This window comes from Homo sapiens, chromosome 3 (genome assembly GCF_000001405.40).
Source record: "Homo sapiens chromosome 3, GRCh38.p14 Primary Assembly".
NCBI lineage: Eukaryota > Metazoa > Chordata > Mammalia > Primates > Hominidae > Homo > Homo sapiens.
Genome location: NC_000003.12, coordinates 49,368,301 through 49,385,019, shown reverse-complemented (window position 1 = coordinate 49,385,019; position 16,719 = coordinate 49,368,301). Strand labels below are relative to the sequence as shown.

The following is a 16,719-nucleotide window of genomic DNA, read 5'->3' as shown; positions in this document are numbered from 1 at the left end:
GCCATCTCAGCTCACTGCAACCTCCGCCTCCCAGGTTCAAACAATTCTCCTGCCTCAGCCTCCCGAGTAGCTGGGATTACAGGTGCCTGCCACCACGCTAGGCTAATTTTTGTGTTCATAGTAGAGAATGGTTTCACCATGTTGGCCAGGCTGCTGGTTTCGAACTCCTGACCTCAAGTGATCTGCCCATCTGAGCCTCCCAAAGTACTTGGATTACAGGCGTGAGCCACTGCACCCAGCCAAGATAATTAAATTTTTAGAAAGTGGGGGCATCACTTGAGCCCAGGAGTTTAAGACCATCCTGGGCAACATGGTGAAACTCCATCTTTACAAAAAAAACACAAAAATTAGCTGGGCGTGGTGTGTGTGCCTGTACTCCTAGCTACTTGGGAGACTGAAGTGGGAGGATTACCTGAGCCTGGGAGGTCAAGGTTGTGGTAAGCCATGATAACACCACCTCACTCCAGCCTGGATGACAGTGAGACCCTGTCTCAAAAAAAAAAAATTAAAAGTTGTAAAAGAAATACTGTTATTTGTGTATTGTTACTGGTGACTTAATTAGATATAACTGACTTTTGGTTAAATAAACCTCTACTCCAAACTTATAAGTTATTTCTGAGACTAAACCTAGCCTGGAAAATGACACGTCTGGGAGAGCTAAGCGTGATTTCCTTTCTTGACAAACCATGTACTTGTAAAGAATGCTGCATTATAGCAAAGTGGAAAGGAGAGATAATTCTGCAAAATTTCTCCTGCGTTTTTCAAGGAGAAAACAGCAAGTTTGATTTTCTGTGCTTGTACTTTTTACTTCTCAACTTCTGTGTATTGCCGCACTCCCAGTATCCCAGAAATCACTTAGGCTTTCATTTTGTCCGATAATCACTTGTAATTTTTGTCTTTGTCACCATTAGTGGCTAAATGATTTTATTCTTTTTCTGGGCCAAATGTTCTTTATCAGATATTTTTCTTTTTCTTTTCTTTCTTTTTTCTGAGACACAGTCTCACTCTGCCGCCCAGGCTGTAATGCAGTAGTGCAATCTCGGCTCACTGCAACCTCCACCTCCCAGGTTCAAGTGATTCTCGTGCCTCAGCCTTCCAAGTAGCTGGGATTACAGGCAGATGCCACCATGCCCGGCTAATTTTTGTATTTTCAGTAGAGACGGGGTTTTGCCATGTTTGCCAGGCTGGTCTCGAACTCCTGACCTCAAGTGATCCGCCTACCTCAGCCTCCCAAAGTGCTGGGATTATGGGCGTGAGCCACCGTGCCTGGCTGGACTAGGGTCTTTAAACGTGAATTCCCTCCCTATAAGCAAAGGTGGAGACAGAGTCTGGACATTCTAGGAAGGGAAGGCACAAACAGAATAGAAGACACATGCAGTAATCTCAGACACACCAGAGCACCCGGAAGGAATGGAGTGCAGGCTGAAAGTGCAGAGGGGAAGGTGGGGCTGGAGAGGGCCCAAGGACAGGCAATGATTTATTCCCCATCTATAAGGAAACTTTTCAAACCATAACAGAAGATTTAAGTCAATACTGGAACAAATATTGTGGGCATGTTGAACTATAAACAAAGCAAAGATAGCTCTTTTTTTTTTTTTTTGAGATGGATTCTCGCTCTATAGACCAGGCTGGAGTGCAGTGGTGTGATCTCAGCTCACTGCAAGCTCCACCTTCCGGGTTCACGCCATTCTCCTGCCTCAGCCTCCCGAGTAGCTGGGACTACAGGCGCCTGCCACCATGCCCGGCTAATTTTTTGTATTTTTAGTAGAAATGTTAGCCGGGATGGTCTCGATCTCCTGACCTCGTGATCTGCCCGCCTCGGCCTCCCAAAGTGCTGGAATTACAGGCGTGAGCCACCACACCTGGCCGAAAGAGATTATTTCTCAAGAATTGAATGTCTTCTAGGTAGGGTGCTACGCAAAGGTGGCAGCCTTTTCTTTTTCTTTTTCTTTTTTTTTTTCTGATACGATGGAGTTTTGCTCTTGTCGCCCAGGCTGGAGTGCAATGGCGCTAACTCGGCTCACTGCAACCTTTGCCTCCTGTGTTCAAGTGATTCTCCTGCCTCAGCATCTCAGTAGTTGGGATTACAGGTGCCCACCACCACGCCCACCTAATTTTTGTATTTTTAGTGGATATGGGGTTACACCATGTTGGTCAGGCTTGTCTCGAACTCCTGACCTCAGGTGATCCACCCACCTCTCAAAGTACTGGGATTGCAGGCATGAACCCCAGCACACTCGGCCAAAGCAGCCTTTTCTTGAACTGGGGAATTCCTGTTGACGTTTCTTTGCATCCCATAGGGTCCTGGTTGTTTGACTTTGGGCAAAAGCCCATGCAGATTAGGCCTTATGAGAGATGTAAAGTTTATTAAATCTTTATTTGGTGAGACAGGGTCTTACTGTGTCACTCAGGCTGGAGTGTAGTGGCATGATTTCAGCTCACTGCAACCTCTGCCTCCTGTACTCAAGTGATCCTCCCATCTTAGCCTCCTGAGTAGCTGTGACCACAGATGCGCACCACCACAGCCAGCTAATTTTTTGTATTTTGGGTAGAGATGGGGTTTCACTGTGTTGTTTAGGATGGTCTCCAACTCTTAGGCTCAAGCAATTTGCCTGCCTTGGCTTCCCAAAGTGCTGGGATTACAGGTGTGAGCCACCACGCCCAGTGTCTATTTTTTTATTTTATTTATTTATTTATTTTTGAGACGGAGTCTCTCTCTGTCACCCAGGCTGGAGTGCAGTGGCACGATCTTAGCTCACTGCAAGCTCCACCTCCTGGGTTCACCCCATTCTCATGCCTCAGCCTCCTGAGTAGCTGGAACTACAGGCGCCCTTCACGACGCCTGGCTAATTTTTTGTATTTTTAGTAGAGACGGGATTTCACTATGTTAGCCAGGATGGTCTCGATCTCCTTACCTCGTGATCTGCCCACCTCAGCCTCCCAAAGTGCTGGGATTACAGGTGTGAGCCACCATGCCCGGCCAATATTTTTTTATTTTTATGAGATAGGGTCTTGCTATTTTGCCCAAGCTGGTCTCAAACTCTGGACTCTAGCTGTCTTCCCACCTCAGCCTCCTGAGTAGATGGGATTACAGGCATGAGTTGCCACACTTGACTCTAACTGGGGAACTTCACTCTCTGTCTTTTTTTTTTTTGAGACGAATTTTCGCTCTTGTTGCCTAAACTGGAGTGCAGTGGCACGATCTCAGCTCACTGCAACTTCCTCCTCCCGGGTTCAAGTGATTCTCCTGCCTCAGCCTCCTGAGTAGCTGAGATTACAGGTGCGGACCACCATGCCCGGCTAATTTTTCTATTTTTAGTAGAGATGGGGTTTCACCATGTTGGTCAGGCTGGTCTCGAACTCCTGACATCGTGATCCACAGGCCTCGGCCTCCCAAAGTGCTGGGATTACAGGCGTGAGCCACCATGCCAATCCTTTTTTTTTTTTGACAGAGTCTCACTGTGTTGCCCAGGCTGGAGTGCAGTGGCGCGTTCTCAGCTCACTGCAACCTCCGCCTGCCTAATTCAAGTGATTCTCATGCCTCAGCATCCTGAGTAGCCTTTCAGGGGTTACAGGTGCCTGCCACCAACCCAGCTAACTTTTTTTTTTTTTTTGAGACGGGGTTTTTCTCTTGTTTCCCAGGCTGGAATGCAATGGCGAGATATCGGCTTACTGCAGCCTCTGCCTCCTGAGTTCAGGAGATTCTCCTGCCTCAGCCTCTCGAGTAGCCGGGATTATGGGTACATGCCACTACGTCCAACTTATTTTTATATTTTTTGTAGAGACGGGGTTTCACAATGTTGGCCAGGCTGGTCTTGAACTCTGGACCTCAAGTGATCCGCCTACCTCAGCCTCCCAAAGTGCTGGCATTACAGGCATGAGCCATTACTCCTAGCCTTGACTGCATGCTCTTGTTTGAAGATATGCATTGAGCACATTTCCCTATCATCGATATGCTTCTTATTGTGCTTTCATGATTAGTAGTATCTTCAATTTACTCCCTTTTTGCAAAAAAAAAAAAAGTTACTAGATTTTGTAGATTTGGATAAAATTCTATAATATCTGTATCTATATATATACACACACACGTATTCACTGCTGTATGTAATATTGTCCTGAGAATTCACAAATGAGTAATGGCAGCACTGTCAGCCCTCTGAGTTTTTTTGTTTTGTTTTCATTGTTTATTTTTGTCGTTGTTTGCCCTCTGAGTTTTCTTCTGGTACCCCTGTGGATTGTCTTATCCATTCTGGTTGGGGAACATACCCTTTAGACAATATAGTTTTGATAATGAGTATTTATTATTATTATTATTATTATTATTATTATTATTATTATTATTATTTTTGAGACAAGAGTCTCTGTCACCCAGGCTGGAGTGCAGTGGCATGATCTTGGCTCACTGCAACCTCCACCTCCCAGGTTCAAGCGATTCTCTTGCCTCACCCCACCACGCCTGGGTAATTTTAATATTTTTAATAGAGATGGGGTTTCATATGTTGGCCAGGCTGGTCTCAAACTCCTGACCTCGTGATCTGCCCGCCTCGGCCTCCCAGTGTGCTGGGATTACAGGCGTGAATCACCATGCCCAGCTGAGTGTATATAATTTAGGATTAGTTTGACTATAGGTAACAGAGACTTGAAAAATACCACCTTAAATAAGACAGTCATTTATTTCTCATTCATATGGAAGAAACATGGAAGGTAGGCAGTCTTGGGGCTGAGATGGTGGCTCCCAAGATCACCTGAGATCCAGGCTCCTTTTTACCTTTTGGTTCTTCCAGCCCCACGGTATGGCATTCATTCTCACATACCAGGATGGCTGCTTAGAAACCAGCCCTTACTTTAGATTTAAGCAGCAGGAAAGGAGGAGGATAATAAAGACTTCCCTTTAAGAAAGACTTTCTGGAAGTCCCACAACATACTGCTGATTCTCACATCTCATGGTACATGGCCATGTCTCCAAGGGAAGCTAGGAAGTGTAGTCTACAACAAAGTACATAGCTAAAAATCGAAGTATGGTCTAGGAGGGAAGGGCGGGAATTGGGATGGTTGACCATCACTGTCTGCCAGATGGAAGGAATCTGCAGATTTCTCTCTTTTTTCCCCCCACTGGGGGCGAGAGTGGTGGTAACAGCTTTATTGAAATATAATCCACATATCTTACAATTCACCTTTTTAAAGTGTGAATTATATATACTGTGGGCTGGGTGCGGTGGCTCACGCCTGTAATCCCAACACACTGGGAGAGACAGGCAGGAGGATCGCTTGACCTCAGGAGTTTGAGAGCAGCTGGGGCAACGTGGTGAAACCCGGTCACTACTAAAAATACAAAAAATTAGCCGGGTGTGGTGGCATGCACCTTTAGTTCCAGCTACTTGGGAGACTGAGATTGGAGGTTCACTTGAGCCTGGGGAGGCTAAGGTTGCAGTGAGTGGAGATCGCACCACTATACTCCAGCCTGGGCAACAGAGTGAGACCCTGTCTCAAAATAAATAAAATGTGTGAATTATATATACTATAATCAATAGTTTATAGTATATTCATAGAGTTGTGCAGCCATCACCACAATAATTTTGGAAAAATCTTTTTACCTGAGAAACTCCAGTATTCCATTAGTCATTTTCCATTTCTCTCCACCCCCAAGTCCCTGCCCTAGGCAACTACCAGTCTATTTTCTCTTTCTGAATTTGTTTATTCTGGACAATTTTATATAAATGGAATCATGCATGTTGGTTTTTGTGACTGGGTTCTTTCACTTATATAACATTTCCAAGATCTATCCATACTATAGCATATATCAGTACTTTATCCTTTATCGCTGAATAATATTCCATTCCATTGTATGGATATATTATATTCATCAGTTGTTGGATATTTGGGTTCTTTACATTTTTTGACAATATATTATGAATAATCCTGCTATGAATATTCATGTAGAGGTACAAGTTGTTATGTGGACATATGTTTTTGTTTCTCTTAGATATATACCTAGGAATAGAATTGCAGGGTCATACCTACTCACATCCTTTGCTCATTTTTTAATTGGATTAGATTATTTGTCTTTTTATTATTGAATTGTAAGAGTTCTTTATTTTTTAATTTTTTCTATATACTGTATTTAGGCCTGGGGAGGTGGCTTATGCTTGTAATCCCAGCACTTTGGGAGGCTGAATCGGGAGGATTGCATGAGCCCAGGAGTTTGAGACCAGCCTGGGTAATATAGTGAAACGCTATCTGTATAAAAATTAGTCAGCTGTGGTGGCAGGAGCCTGGTAGTCCCAGCTACTGGAGAGGTTGAGGTGGGAGGATCGCTTGAGTTGAGCCTGGGAGGCAGAGGCTGCAGTGAGCCAATATTGCACCACTGCATTCCAGCCTTGGTGACAGAATGAGACCCTTTCTGAAAATAACTACATAATAGAGAAACACATAGATAGGTTAGATAGGTACATAGATTGGATAGATGCGTAGATAGATGGGCAGTGGCTCACGCCTGTAATCCCTCAGCACTGTGGGAGGCCGAGGCGAGTAGATCACTTGAGCTCAGGAGTTGGAGACCAGCCTGGGAAACATGGCAAAACCCTGTCTCTGCCAAAAATACAAAAATTAGCTGGGCGTGGTGGCGCATGCCTGTGGTCCCAGCTGCTGGGGAATTTGAAGTGGGAGGATCACTTGAGCCTCGGAGGTGGAGATTGCATTGAGCCAAGATCACGCCACTGCATTCCAGCCTGGGTGACAGAGTGAGACCTCATCTCAAAAAAAAAAAAAAAAAAAAAAAAGATAGATGGATAGATAAATAGCGTACTTCATGTCAGAAGGAGTTCTCTCTTTTTTTTTTTTTTTTTTTTTAAGACACAGTTTCACTCTGTTGCCCAGGCTGGAGTGCTCTGTTGCCCAGGCTGGAGTGCAGTGGTACAATCTGGGCTCACTGCAACTTCTGCCTCCTGGGTTCAAGCGATTCTCCTGCCTCAGTCTCCCGAGTAACTGGGATTACAGGTGCCCACCACCACACCCGGCTAAGTTTTGAATTTTTTGTAGAAACGGGGTTTTGCTGGGTTGGTCAGGCTGGTCTCGAACTCCTGACCTCAAGTGTTCTGCTTGCCTCAGCCTCCCAAAGTGCTGGGATTACAGGTGTGAGCTACCGTGCCCAGCCCAAAAAGAGTTCTTTATGATTTCAACCTTGCAAGAGATCCTGAGCCAGACCACCAACCTAAGCTGCTTTTTTGTAGTTGAGTCATAAGAGTTTGAGACAAGGTTCCACTCTGTCACCCAGGCTGGAGTGCAGTGATGCAATCATAGCTCACCACATCCTCCACCTCCTGGGCTCAAGCAATCCTCCCACCTCAGCCTCCTTGGTAGCTGGGACTACAGGTGCATGCTACCACAACTGGCTGATTTTTTTTTTTTTCTTTTCCTTCTTTTTTTAGAGACAGTGTCTCACTGGGGTTCCCCAGGCTGGAGTGTAGTGATGCAATCTCAGCTCACTGCAGCTTCCACCTCCAGGGCTCAGGGGATTATCCCACCTGAGCCTCCCAAGTAACTGTGATTAGCATGCACCACCGCTCCTGGCTAATTTTTTGTATTTTTAGTAGAGACAGGGTTTCACTATGTTTCCCAGGCTCGTCTTGAACTCCTGGACTCTCAAGCAGTCCACCTGTTTCGGCCTCCCAGATTGCTGGGATTATAGGCGTGAGCCACTGCGCCCGGCCCTTTTCTTTCTCCCCTCCCCTCTCATGCTTCCGTCCGTCCTTCCTTTCTCAGTGTCTCACTATGTTGTCAGGGCTGGTCTCTTAACTCCTGGGCCTGAGCATTCCTCCTGCTTCAGTCTCCCAAAGTGTTGGGATTACAGACATGAACCACTGTGCTCGGCCTCAATTGATTTTTCTTTTTTGAGACGGAGTTTCGCTCTTGTTGCCCAGGCTGGAGTGCAATGGCATGATCTCGGCTCACCACAACCTCTGCCTCCCGGGTTCAAGCGATTCTCCTGCCTCTTGCTCCTGTGTAGCTAGGATTATAGGCATGTGCCACCACGCCTGGCTAATTTTGTATTTTTGGTAGAGATGGGGTTTCTCCATGTTGGCCAGGCTGGTCTCAAACTCCTGACCTCAGGTGATCTGCCTGCCTCGGCCTCCCAAAATGCTGGGATTATAGGCGTGAGCCACCGCGCCCAGCCAAGAATGCTGTTTCTTTACAAACAAATCTAGATTGGTAAAAGAAGGAATATCCAAACTTAGAAAGATTGCAGAATGTCTACCCAAACAACCTGCCGATGACTTTTTTGGTTCTTTCCTCCCTTGGGTACTCCCTTTCATCAGTCCTTTCATTGTTTTTACCCTGCTTGACAAATTGTTTCCTTTTTTTTTTTTTTTTTTTTTGTGAGATGGAGTCTTACTCTGTCCCCCAGGCTGGTGTGCAGTGGCCCGATCTTGGCTCACTGCAAGCTCTGTCTCCTGGGTTCACGCCATTCTCCTGCCTCAGCCTCCCAAGTAGCTGGGACTACAGGTGCCTGCCACCATGCCCGGCTAGTTATTTGTATTTTTAGTAGAGATGGGGTTTCTCCGTGTTAGCCAGGATGGTCTCGATCTCCTGACCTCGTGATCCACCCGCCTCGGCCTCCCAAAGTGCTGGGATTATAGGCGTGAGCCACTGCGCCTGGCTCAATTGATTTTTTAATGTTAATATTGTATCCTGCAACCTTACTGAACTTGTTTATTCTAAAAGTTTTCTTTAGGATTTCCCACATTACAAAATCATCTCATGTGTGAATTGAGATAGTTTTACTTCTTCCTTTCCAATTTGGATGTCTTTTATTTCATTTTCTTACCTTATTGCCCTGGCTAGGACCTCCAGTATCCTGCTGGATAGAAGTAGCAAGAACAGGCCAGGCGTGGTGGCTCACGCCTGTAATCCCAGCACTTTGGGAGGCTGAGGCAGGTGGATCACCTGAGGTCAGGAGTTCAAGACCAGCCTGGCCAACAAGGTGAAACCCCATCTCTATCAAAAATTAGCTGGATGTGGTGGTACGTGCCTGTAATCCCAGCTACTTGGGAGTCTGAGGCAGGAGAATTGCTTGAACCCGGGAGGCTGGAGGTTGCAGTGAACTGAGATTGGGCCAGTGCACTCCAGCCTGGGCGACAGAGTGAGACTCCGTCTCAAAAAAAAAAAGAAGTGGCAAGAACAGACATTCTTGTCTTGTTCCTGATCTTAGGGGGCAGACCTTTTTTTCAGTCTTTTACCATTAAGTATAATGTTAGTTACGAGTTTTTAATGTATAACCTTTTGGTGCCAGGTGGATCGGCGTACTAGAAGTTTGAATTTGAGTATGCTAATAGAGGTTTATGCCCCATGGTTACCAAAGCATGTGTCATCCTGTAAGCTACCTATGACTTCTTGTGCATTGCAGGTAATATCTGTGTTTTGTGTTTCAGCAATGGCTGCCATCCGGAAGAAACTGGTGATTGTTGGTGATGGAGCCTGTGGAAAGACATGCTTGCTCATAGTCTTCAGCAAGGACCAGTTCCCAGAGGTGTATGTGCCCACAGTGTTTGAGAACTATGTGGCAGATATCGAGGTGGATGGAAAGCAGGTGAGTATACTTTTCATAACAACTGATGCCATTTTCCATGTTAGAATATTTATGGAGCATGTAGAGAATTAGAGCTTTTTGCCTCTTCAGTATACCATATAACAAAAATGTTGGAAAGAAGAATCCATTCTCATCCTGCCATCTTAGTCCAAGTTTGTTCTTTTTTTTTTTTTGGAGACGGAGTCTCATTCTGTTGCCCAGGCTAGAGTGCAGTGGCTCGGTCTTGGCTCACTGCAACCTCTGCCTCCCAGGTTCAAGTGATTCTCCTGCCTCAGCCTCCCAAATAGCAGGGATTACAGGCATGTTGCCACCATGCTGAGCTCATTTTTCGTTTAGTAGAGATGGGGTTTCACCAGGCTGGTCTCAAACTTCTGACCTCGGGTGATCCACCCACCTCAGCCTCCCAAAGTGCTGGGATTACAGGAGTGAGCCACTGTGCCCAGCCTTCCCCCAGGTTTAAAGGATTCTCCTGCCTCAGCCTCCCCAGTAGCTGGGATTACGGGAATATGCCACCACACCTGGCTGATTTTTGTATTTTTAGTAGAAATGGGGTTTCACTACGTTGGCCAGGCTGGTCATGAACTCCTGACCGCAGGTGATTGGCTGTTTTTTCATTTTTAACTGCTACTCATCCAGACTTTGTTTACATTCATATGTATTTGACATGGTGTCCTTAGCATATGTGTTTTTTTTTTGTTTTGTTTTGTTGTTTGAGACAGAGTCTCGCTCTGTCGCCCAGGCTGGAGTGCAGTGGTACAATCTCAGCTCGCTGCAACCTCCACCTCCCGGGTTCAAGCAATTCTTTTGCCTCAGCCTCCAGAGTAGAGTAGCTGGGATTACAGGCGCACGCCGCCATGCCTGGCTAATACTTGTATTTTGTAAAGATGCAATTTTGCCATGTTGGCCAGGCTGGTCTCAAGCTCCTGACCTCAGATGATCCACCTGCCTCAGCCTCCCAAAGTGCTGGGATTACAGGCGTGAGCCACCTTGCCCAGCCATATGTGCTCTTTTCAAGTTTACGTATATTTGAAGTTTAGTTCATTGCCATATAGATAATGCTCAGATGAACTTCTTTGTATGCTTGGACTTTGACAAAAATTCTGTCAAAGTATTTAATCAGATGTCCCAGTATTAGATTACTAGTTCAAGCTCTGCCTCCTGGGTTCACGCTGTTCTCCTGCCTCATCCTCCCAAGTAGCTGGGACTACAGGTGTCCACCACCAGACTGGCTAATTTTTTGTATTTTTAGTAGAGACGGGGTTTCACCGTGTTAGCCAGGATGGTCTCGATCTCCTGATCTTGTGATCTGCCCGTCTCGGCCTCCCAAAGTGCTGGGATTACAGGCATGAGCCACTGTGCCCGGCCAAAAGATTTTTTTTTACTTTAACATAAAATAGCCTGCCACAGTTGTTTTATTTTATTGTCATTGATGGTGAGAACAGTGCTTCCCCATTTCTGTCCTAAAAGCCCTCTGGCAAGACTGGAACAAAGCTCTTGTGAAATTGGAGGGTTTTTTTGGGTTTTAATTTTGGTTTTGGTTTGTTTTTGTTTTTTTTTTTAATCTTCTGCTTCCTTTTGTTGTCTAAGTAATGCTTTGCTTGGCCTCTCATACTTTTTTTTTTTTCTCTTAAATAAAGAGACAGGGATTGTACTTTGTCTCCCAGGCCTGCAGTGCTGTGACATGATCATGCAGCCTTGAACTCTTGGGCTCAAGTGATCCTTCCACCTCAGCCTCCCAAATAGCTGGCACTGTAGGTATGTGCCACCACACCTGGGTAATTTATGTTTTTAGAGATGAGGTCTTGTGTTGGTCCAGCTGGTTTCAAACAACTGGGCTCAAGTTCTTCCATCTCAGCCCCAAGTGGCTGGGCTTACAGGCGCAAGCCAGCGTGCCCAGCTCTCCTATACATCTTTTGAAGTGGGTCAGCTGAAAGGAAAAAACCCCTAAAACTAGAATGAGGTGCTCTTCTCCAACATTCTCATTTTTCTTGAGCATTCAGTTATATGTCTCATATGCTGCTAACACTTGATATATTAGCTTCCATTCATCCCCTTTCTCCTTTCTTACTTTGTTTTTGTTTGTTTGTCTAGAGACAGAGTCTCCCTCTATCACCCAGGTTGGAGTGCAATGGCATGATCTTGGTTTACAACAACCTCCGCCTCCTGAGTTCAAGCAATTCTCCTATCTCAGCCTCCCGAGGAGCTGGGATTACAGGTGCCTGCCACCAAGCCCAGCTAATCTTTGTATTTTTAGTAGAGACGAGGTTTCGCCATGTTGGCCAGGCTGGTCTCGAACTTTTGACGTCAGGTGATCCGCCCGCCTTGGCCTCCCAAAGTGCTGGGATTACATGCATGAGCCACCGTGCCTGGCCACTTCTACTTGTCCACATTACTTATTTCTTTCTGTCCTAGGGCCACCTAGCCTCCTTTTGTGGCACTGTGTGAGGAATGTGGGTTAGATCAGCTGCTCAGAACTCCAGGGTCCCTCATTGTAGGGCTTCCTGATAGTTGTTTGACCATCAGTAAGCTCCTGACCTTTGAGCCTTCCTCATTTGTAAAACGGTTTTTATAGGTGACATCAAGGTTCTGTGAAGTAACGGAAAATGTTTGGCAGCACCAAAGCGCTTTCTAAGAGATGAATACTGCCATGTTCAAAACCCTCTTTCATAGTTTGTAGTCCTTTTTTTTTTTTTTTTTTTTGAGACAGAGTCTCGCTCTGTCGCCCAGGCTGGAGTGCAGTGGCGTGATCTCTGCTAACTGCAACCTCTGCCTCCTGGGTTCACGCCATTCTCCTGCCTCATCCTCCGGAGTAGCCGGGACTACAGGCGCCCGCCACCACGCCTGGCTAGTTTTTTGTATTTTTAGTAGAGACAGGGTTTCACCGTGTTAGCCAGGATGGTCTGGATCTCCTGACCTCGTGATCTGCCTGCCTCCCAAAGTGCTGGGATTACAGGCGTGAGCCACTGCGCCCGTCCTATAGTTTGTGCTCTTTTTTATTCAAATACAGAGTGAGCCACGATGATTGCTCTTATGCTAATAGGAACTCTAAGATACTTTCTGGCCCAAGTATAGATGGAAAAAATACAACAAATACCAGCCTAACAGAATTTTGGGATGTACCCTGAAGGTGGCAAACCAATACAGAGGGTGTTAATTCAGCCTCAGCCAAGCATGGATGCTTGGACATAGGTGTTTTTGTGGTCCTGATAGGAAAACTGGTTTTATATGGACACAGGGCCCAGTTGTGACAAACTAGGTAGAAATGTGATGACATCTTCAGGATTGGTGTCAAGTTATAGCCCTCTTACCTAACTTAGATTGATGCACCATACATAGAAAGATCCATTGGCTTGGGGAAGCAATGTCAGGTTGGCATTTTCATAGCTTATTTCTCAAAAGCCTAGTAGTGAATGTATATTACTGGTTGTATCCTAACATTTTCTCCAGAGAGTGGCTGTTAATTGCTGCATGTCTGTAAGCATGAACTGGAAGGGTCTTTTCCATCTGTGGCAGTATGTATGTTTTGGAAGCAGCTCTTTGGTTCTCTTGGAAACATTATTTCTGCCTGGGCATCTTGGAACAACCAGAATCTTGCCCATAAGAAATTTAGAGACCTTGACTTAAAACCTTGAGGCATGGTCTGTGAGTATTTTTCTTGTGCTGCAAACCTTGGACATCACTGACCCTCGCAAGATAGGGGGAGGTTCTCACTTGAGGAGAGTCCCCTGGAATAAAAGTGTTTGATTGAAGAGCATATTACAGGCTACCTGCCTGCCTCAGAGCAACTCAAGAGTCCCCAAGATGGGAGAGGGTACTGTGTAGGAATATTCATTTAACAGTATGCAATAGTATAAGGCCAGACGTCGTAGCTCACACCTGTAATCCAGCACTTTGGGAGGCTGAGGCAGGAGGATCACCAGAGGTCAGGAGTTTGAGACCAGCCTGCCCAACATGGCAAAACCCAATCTCTACTAAAAATACAAAAAATTAGCTGGGCGTGGTGGCAGGCACTTGTAATCCCAGCTACTTGGGAGGCTGAGGCAGGAGAATCACTTGAACCTGGGAGGCAGAGGTTGCAGTGAACTGAGACTGCGCCACTGCACTCAAGCCTGGGCGACAAGGGCGAAACTCTGTCTCAAAAAAAAAAAAAAACAGTAGGCAATAGTACAGCCTAGGGAACCATACAAGATTGTAGGTGATCATGGTACCAAGAGTAGGCCTGCTCACAATGAAAAGGCCCCTTTTGATATGAGACAGACTCAACATCTTGGAAGCATTTTATCAAGCGCCAATAGAGGCTGGATATATGACTAAACACCGTGGGGTGGAGGGGGCCGGGAGAGTGGGATTTGCCAGGGAGTAAATGAGCTCCATTATTGTGAGGGCAGACAGATTGTGATAATTGGGCATCAGTATATCTTAGTTACACATGCCAGAATGATGGTTTGCATGACAGAAGTACAGTGGGCCTTGTGGAGGTTATTTGTGATGCATCCTGGGGCAAAAGTTCGGGGGTGGAAGAGCCATCAATTTTAAGGAAGAAATCATTTAGAAACTGAAATTTGGGCTGTGAAGGTGCTAAGAGAAGAAAGATGTGTTCCAAGTATTGGAGGGAGACCTCTTGGGCCTCAAAGGGCCTCTGTACAGAGGATGTTTAACATGGAGTCTGGTGATAAGAATGGGGTAGCAGAGCTGGGTGCAGTGCTGGGCAGTGTTGAATGGGACTTGTATTCAGAGCCCAGGCATCAGTTTACCCTTCTACCACAGGAGGGTGAGGATGTACCCGGATGTGAAAGGAGTACTCTCTCACCTTACGTGATGCATTATTTCAGACATTTCTTGAGTAGTAAAGGCACAGCCAAAAGGGCTTTCCTGTCATCTCAGGCCTTGCCTAACAGCCAGCATGGTGTCTTTTCCTACCTACCAACTCAAAATACAGATTTGTTTCCATGGTTTCCACATTATAGCAGAAAATTTACTTAGTCTTGTATCTTCCTCTCTCGCCTGTATGCCTGGTAGGATGTTATTTAAAATTTGATTTCTTCCCTCCTGTCTGCTTTCTTTCCTAGTAGAATGTTATTTATAATTAAACACTTTTATAAGCTACAGAGTTATTTTTGACTTGACATTTTGAATTATGCCACTTGGTTCAGTTCTAGTATCTGTTTTGTTTTTTTGTTTTTTTCCTAATTGAGTCAAGGTCTCACTGCCTAGGCTGCAGTGCAGTGGCACAATCTCTGCTTACTGCAACCTCCGCCTCCCGGGCTCAAGCAGTCCTCCCACCTCAGTCTCCCAAGTAGCTGGGACTACAGGCGTGCACCACCACAGTCAGCTAATTTTTTTTTTTTTTTAAATGGAGTTTCGCTCTTGTTGGCCAGGCTGGAGTGCAGTGGTGCAATCTCAGCTCATTGCAACCTCCACTCATTGCAACCTCCGCCTCCTGGGTTCAAGCGATTCTCCTGCCTCAGCCTCCTGAGTAGCTGGGATTACAGGCATGCTTCACCACGCCCAGCTAATTTTGTATTTTCAGTAGAGATGGGGTTTCTCCACATTTGTCAGGCTAGTCTCGAACTTCCGACTTCAGGTGATCCGCCCGCCTTGGCCTCCCAAAGTGCTGGGATTACAGGCGTGAGCCACCGCACCCAGCCCACACTCAGCTAAGTTTTATTTTATTTATTTTTTTTTTTTTTAGAGATGGAGGCTCGCTTTGTCGCCCATGCTGGAGTGCTGGAGTGCAGTGGCACGATCTTGGCTCACTGCAACCTTTGCCTCTCGAGTTCAAGCAATTCACCTGCCTTAGCCTCTCCAGTAGCTGGGACTACAGGCGCACGCTGCCGTGCCTGGCTAATTTCTTTCGTATTTTAGTAGGGACGGGGTTTCACCATGTTGCCCAGGCTGGTCTCGAACTCCTGAGCTCAGGCAGTCAGCCCGCCTCAGCCTCCCAAAGTGCTAGGATTACAGGCATGAGCCACCGCGCCTGGCCACACTCAGCTAATTTTTAAGGTGTTTTTGTAGAGGTGGGTTCTCAGATTTTCAATTTTGAGAAATTTCAACCTAAAATAATTTAAATATACTCTCATTTGAGCTTGATGCTCATAAAAGTGAATACTCGGCCGGGTGTGGTGGCTCATGCCTGTAATCCCAGCACTTTGGGAGGCCGAGGCAGGCGGATCACGAGGTCAGGAGATCAAGACCATCCTGGCTAACATGGTGAAACCCCGTCTCTACTAAAAGTACGAAAAATTAGCCAAGCGTGGTGGCGGGCGCCTGTAGTCCCAGCTGCTCAGGAGGCTGAGGCAGGAGAATGGCATGAACCCGGGGGCAGAGCTTGCAGTGAGCCAAGATCTTGCCACTGAACTCCAGTCTGAGCAACAGAGTAAGACTCCGTCTCAACAAAAAAAAAAAAAAAAAAAAAAAAAAAAAAAAAGGCCAGGCGCGGTGGGTCACGCCTGCAATCCCAACACTTTGGGAGGCCGAGGCGGACGGATCATGAGGTCAGGAGATCCAGACCATCCTGGCTAACACAGTGAAACCCCGTCTCTACTAAAAATACAAAAAATTAGCCGGGTGTGATGGCGGGCACCTGTAGTCCCAGCTACTTGGGAGGCCAAGGCAGGAGAATGGTGTGAACCCGGGAGACGGAGCTTGCAGGGAGCAGAGATCGCGCCACTGCACTCTAGCCTGGGCGACAGAGCAAGACTACATCTCAAAAAAAAAAAAAAAAAAGAAAAAAGAAAAAATGTAAATACTCCTGTGTTTTACTGTTTTAGACCGTCTGCCATTTCAATGGTCTGCCATTTCAATGTACTATGGTAAGTGTCACTTTTTCTAAAAGTGGGTGGGGGGATTAACCTTGCACTCTTGTGGTTGTTTTTCCCATTACAGGTAGAGTTGGCTTTGTGGGACACAGCTGGGCAGGAAGATTATGATCGCCTGAGGCCCCTCTCCTACCCAGATACCGATGTTATACTGATGTGTTTTTCCATCGACAGCCCTGATAGTTTAGGTGAGTGGCCCTGCACCCTGATATTTGTCACTGCCTGTGTAGCTAGTTGGCATCTGGTTTCTGGGCATCAAGTGGCTGAAAAGCAGACATGAACTTCAGAGAAGCAATCATCGTCAGTGGCCGGAGT

At 46.2% G+C, this 16,719-nt stretch overlaps 1 protein-coding gene across 7 annotated transcripts in view; it reads left to right on the top strand.

Annotated features, from left to right (window-relative positions):
• Positions 1-16,719, top strand: part of RHOA (ras homolog family member A) — a 52,832-nt gene that overhangs the window by 26,957 nt on the left and 9,156 nt on the right. For 3 of the 7 annotated variants that reach the window (NM_001664.4, NM_001313943.2, NM_001313941.2), the window contains 2 exons: positions 9,429-9,586; positions 16,472-16,592. In NM_001664.4, the coding sequence (NP_001655.1) occupies positions 9,431-9,586; positions 16,472-16,592 (277 nt within the window). In that variant the 5' untranslated portion in view covers positions 9,429-9,430. The remainder of the gene's footprint in view (positions 1-9,428; positions 9,587-16,471; positions 16,593-16,719) is intronic. The other 4 variants (NM_001313946.2, NM_001313947.2, NM_001313945.2 and 1 more) reach the window with 3 other exon arrangements.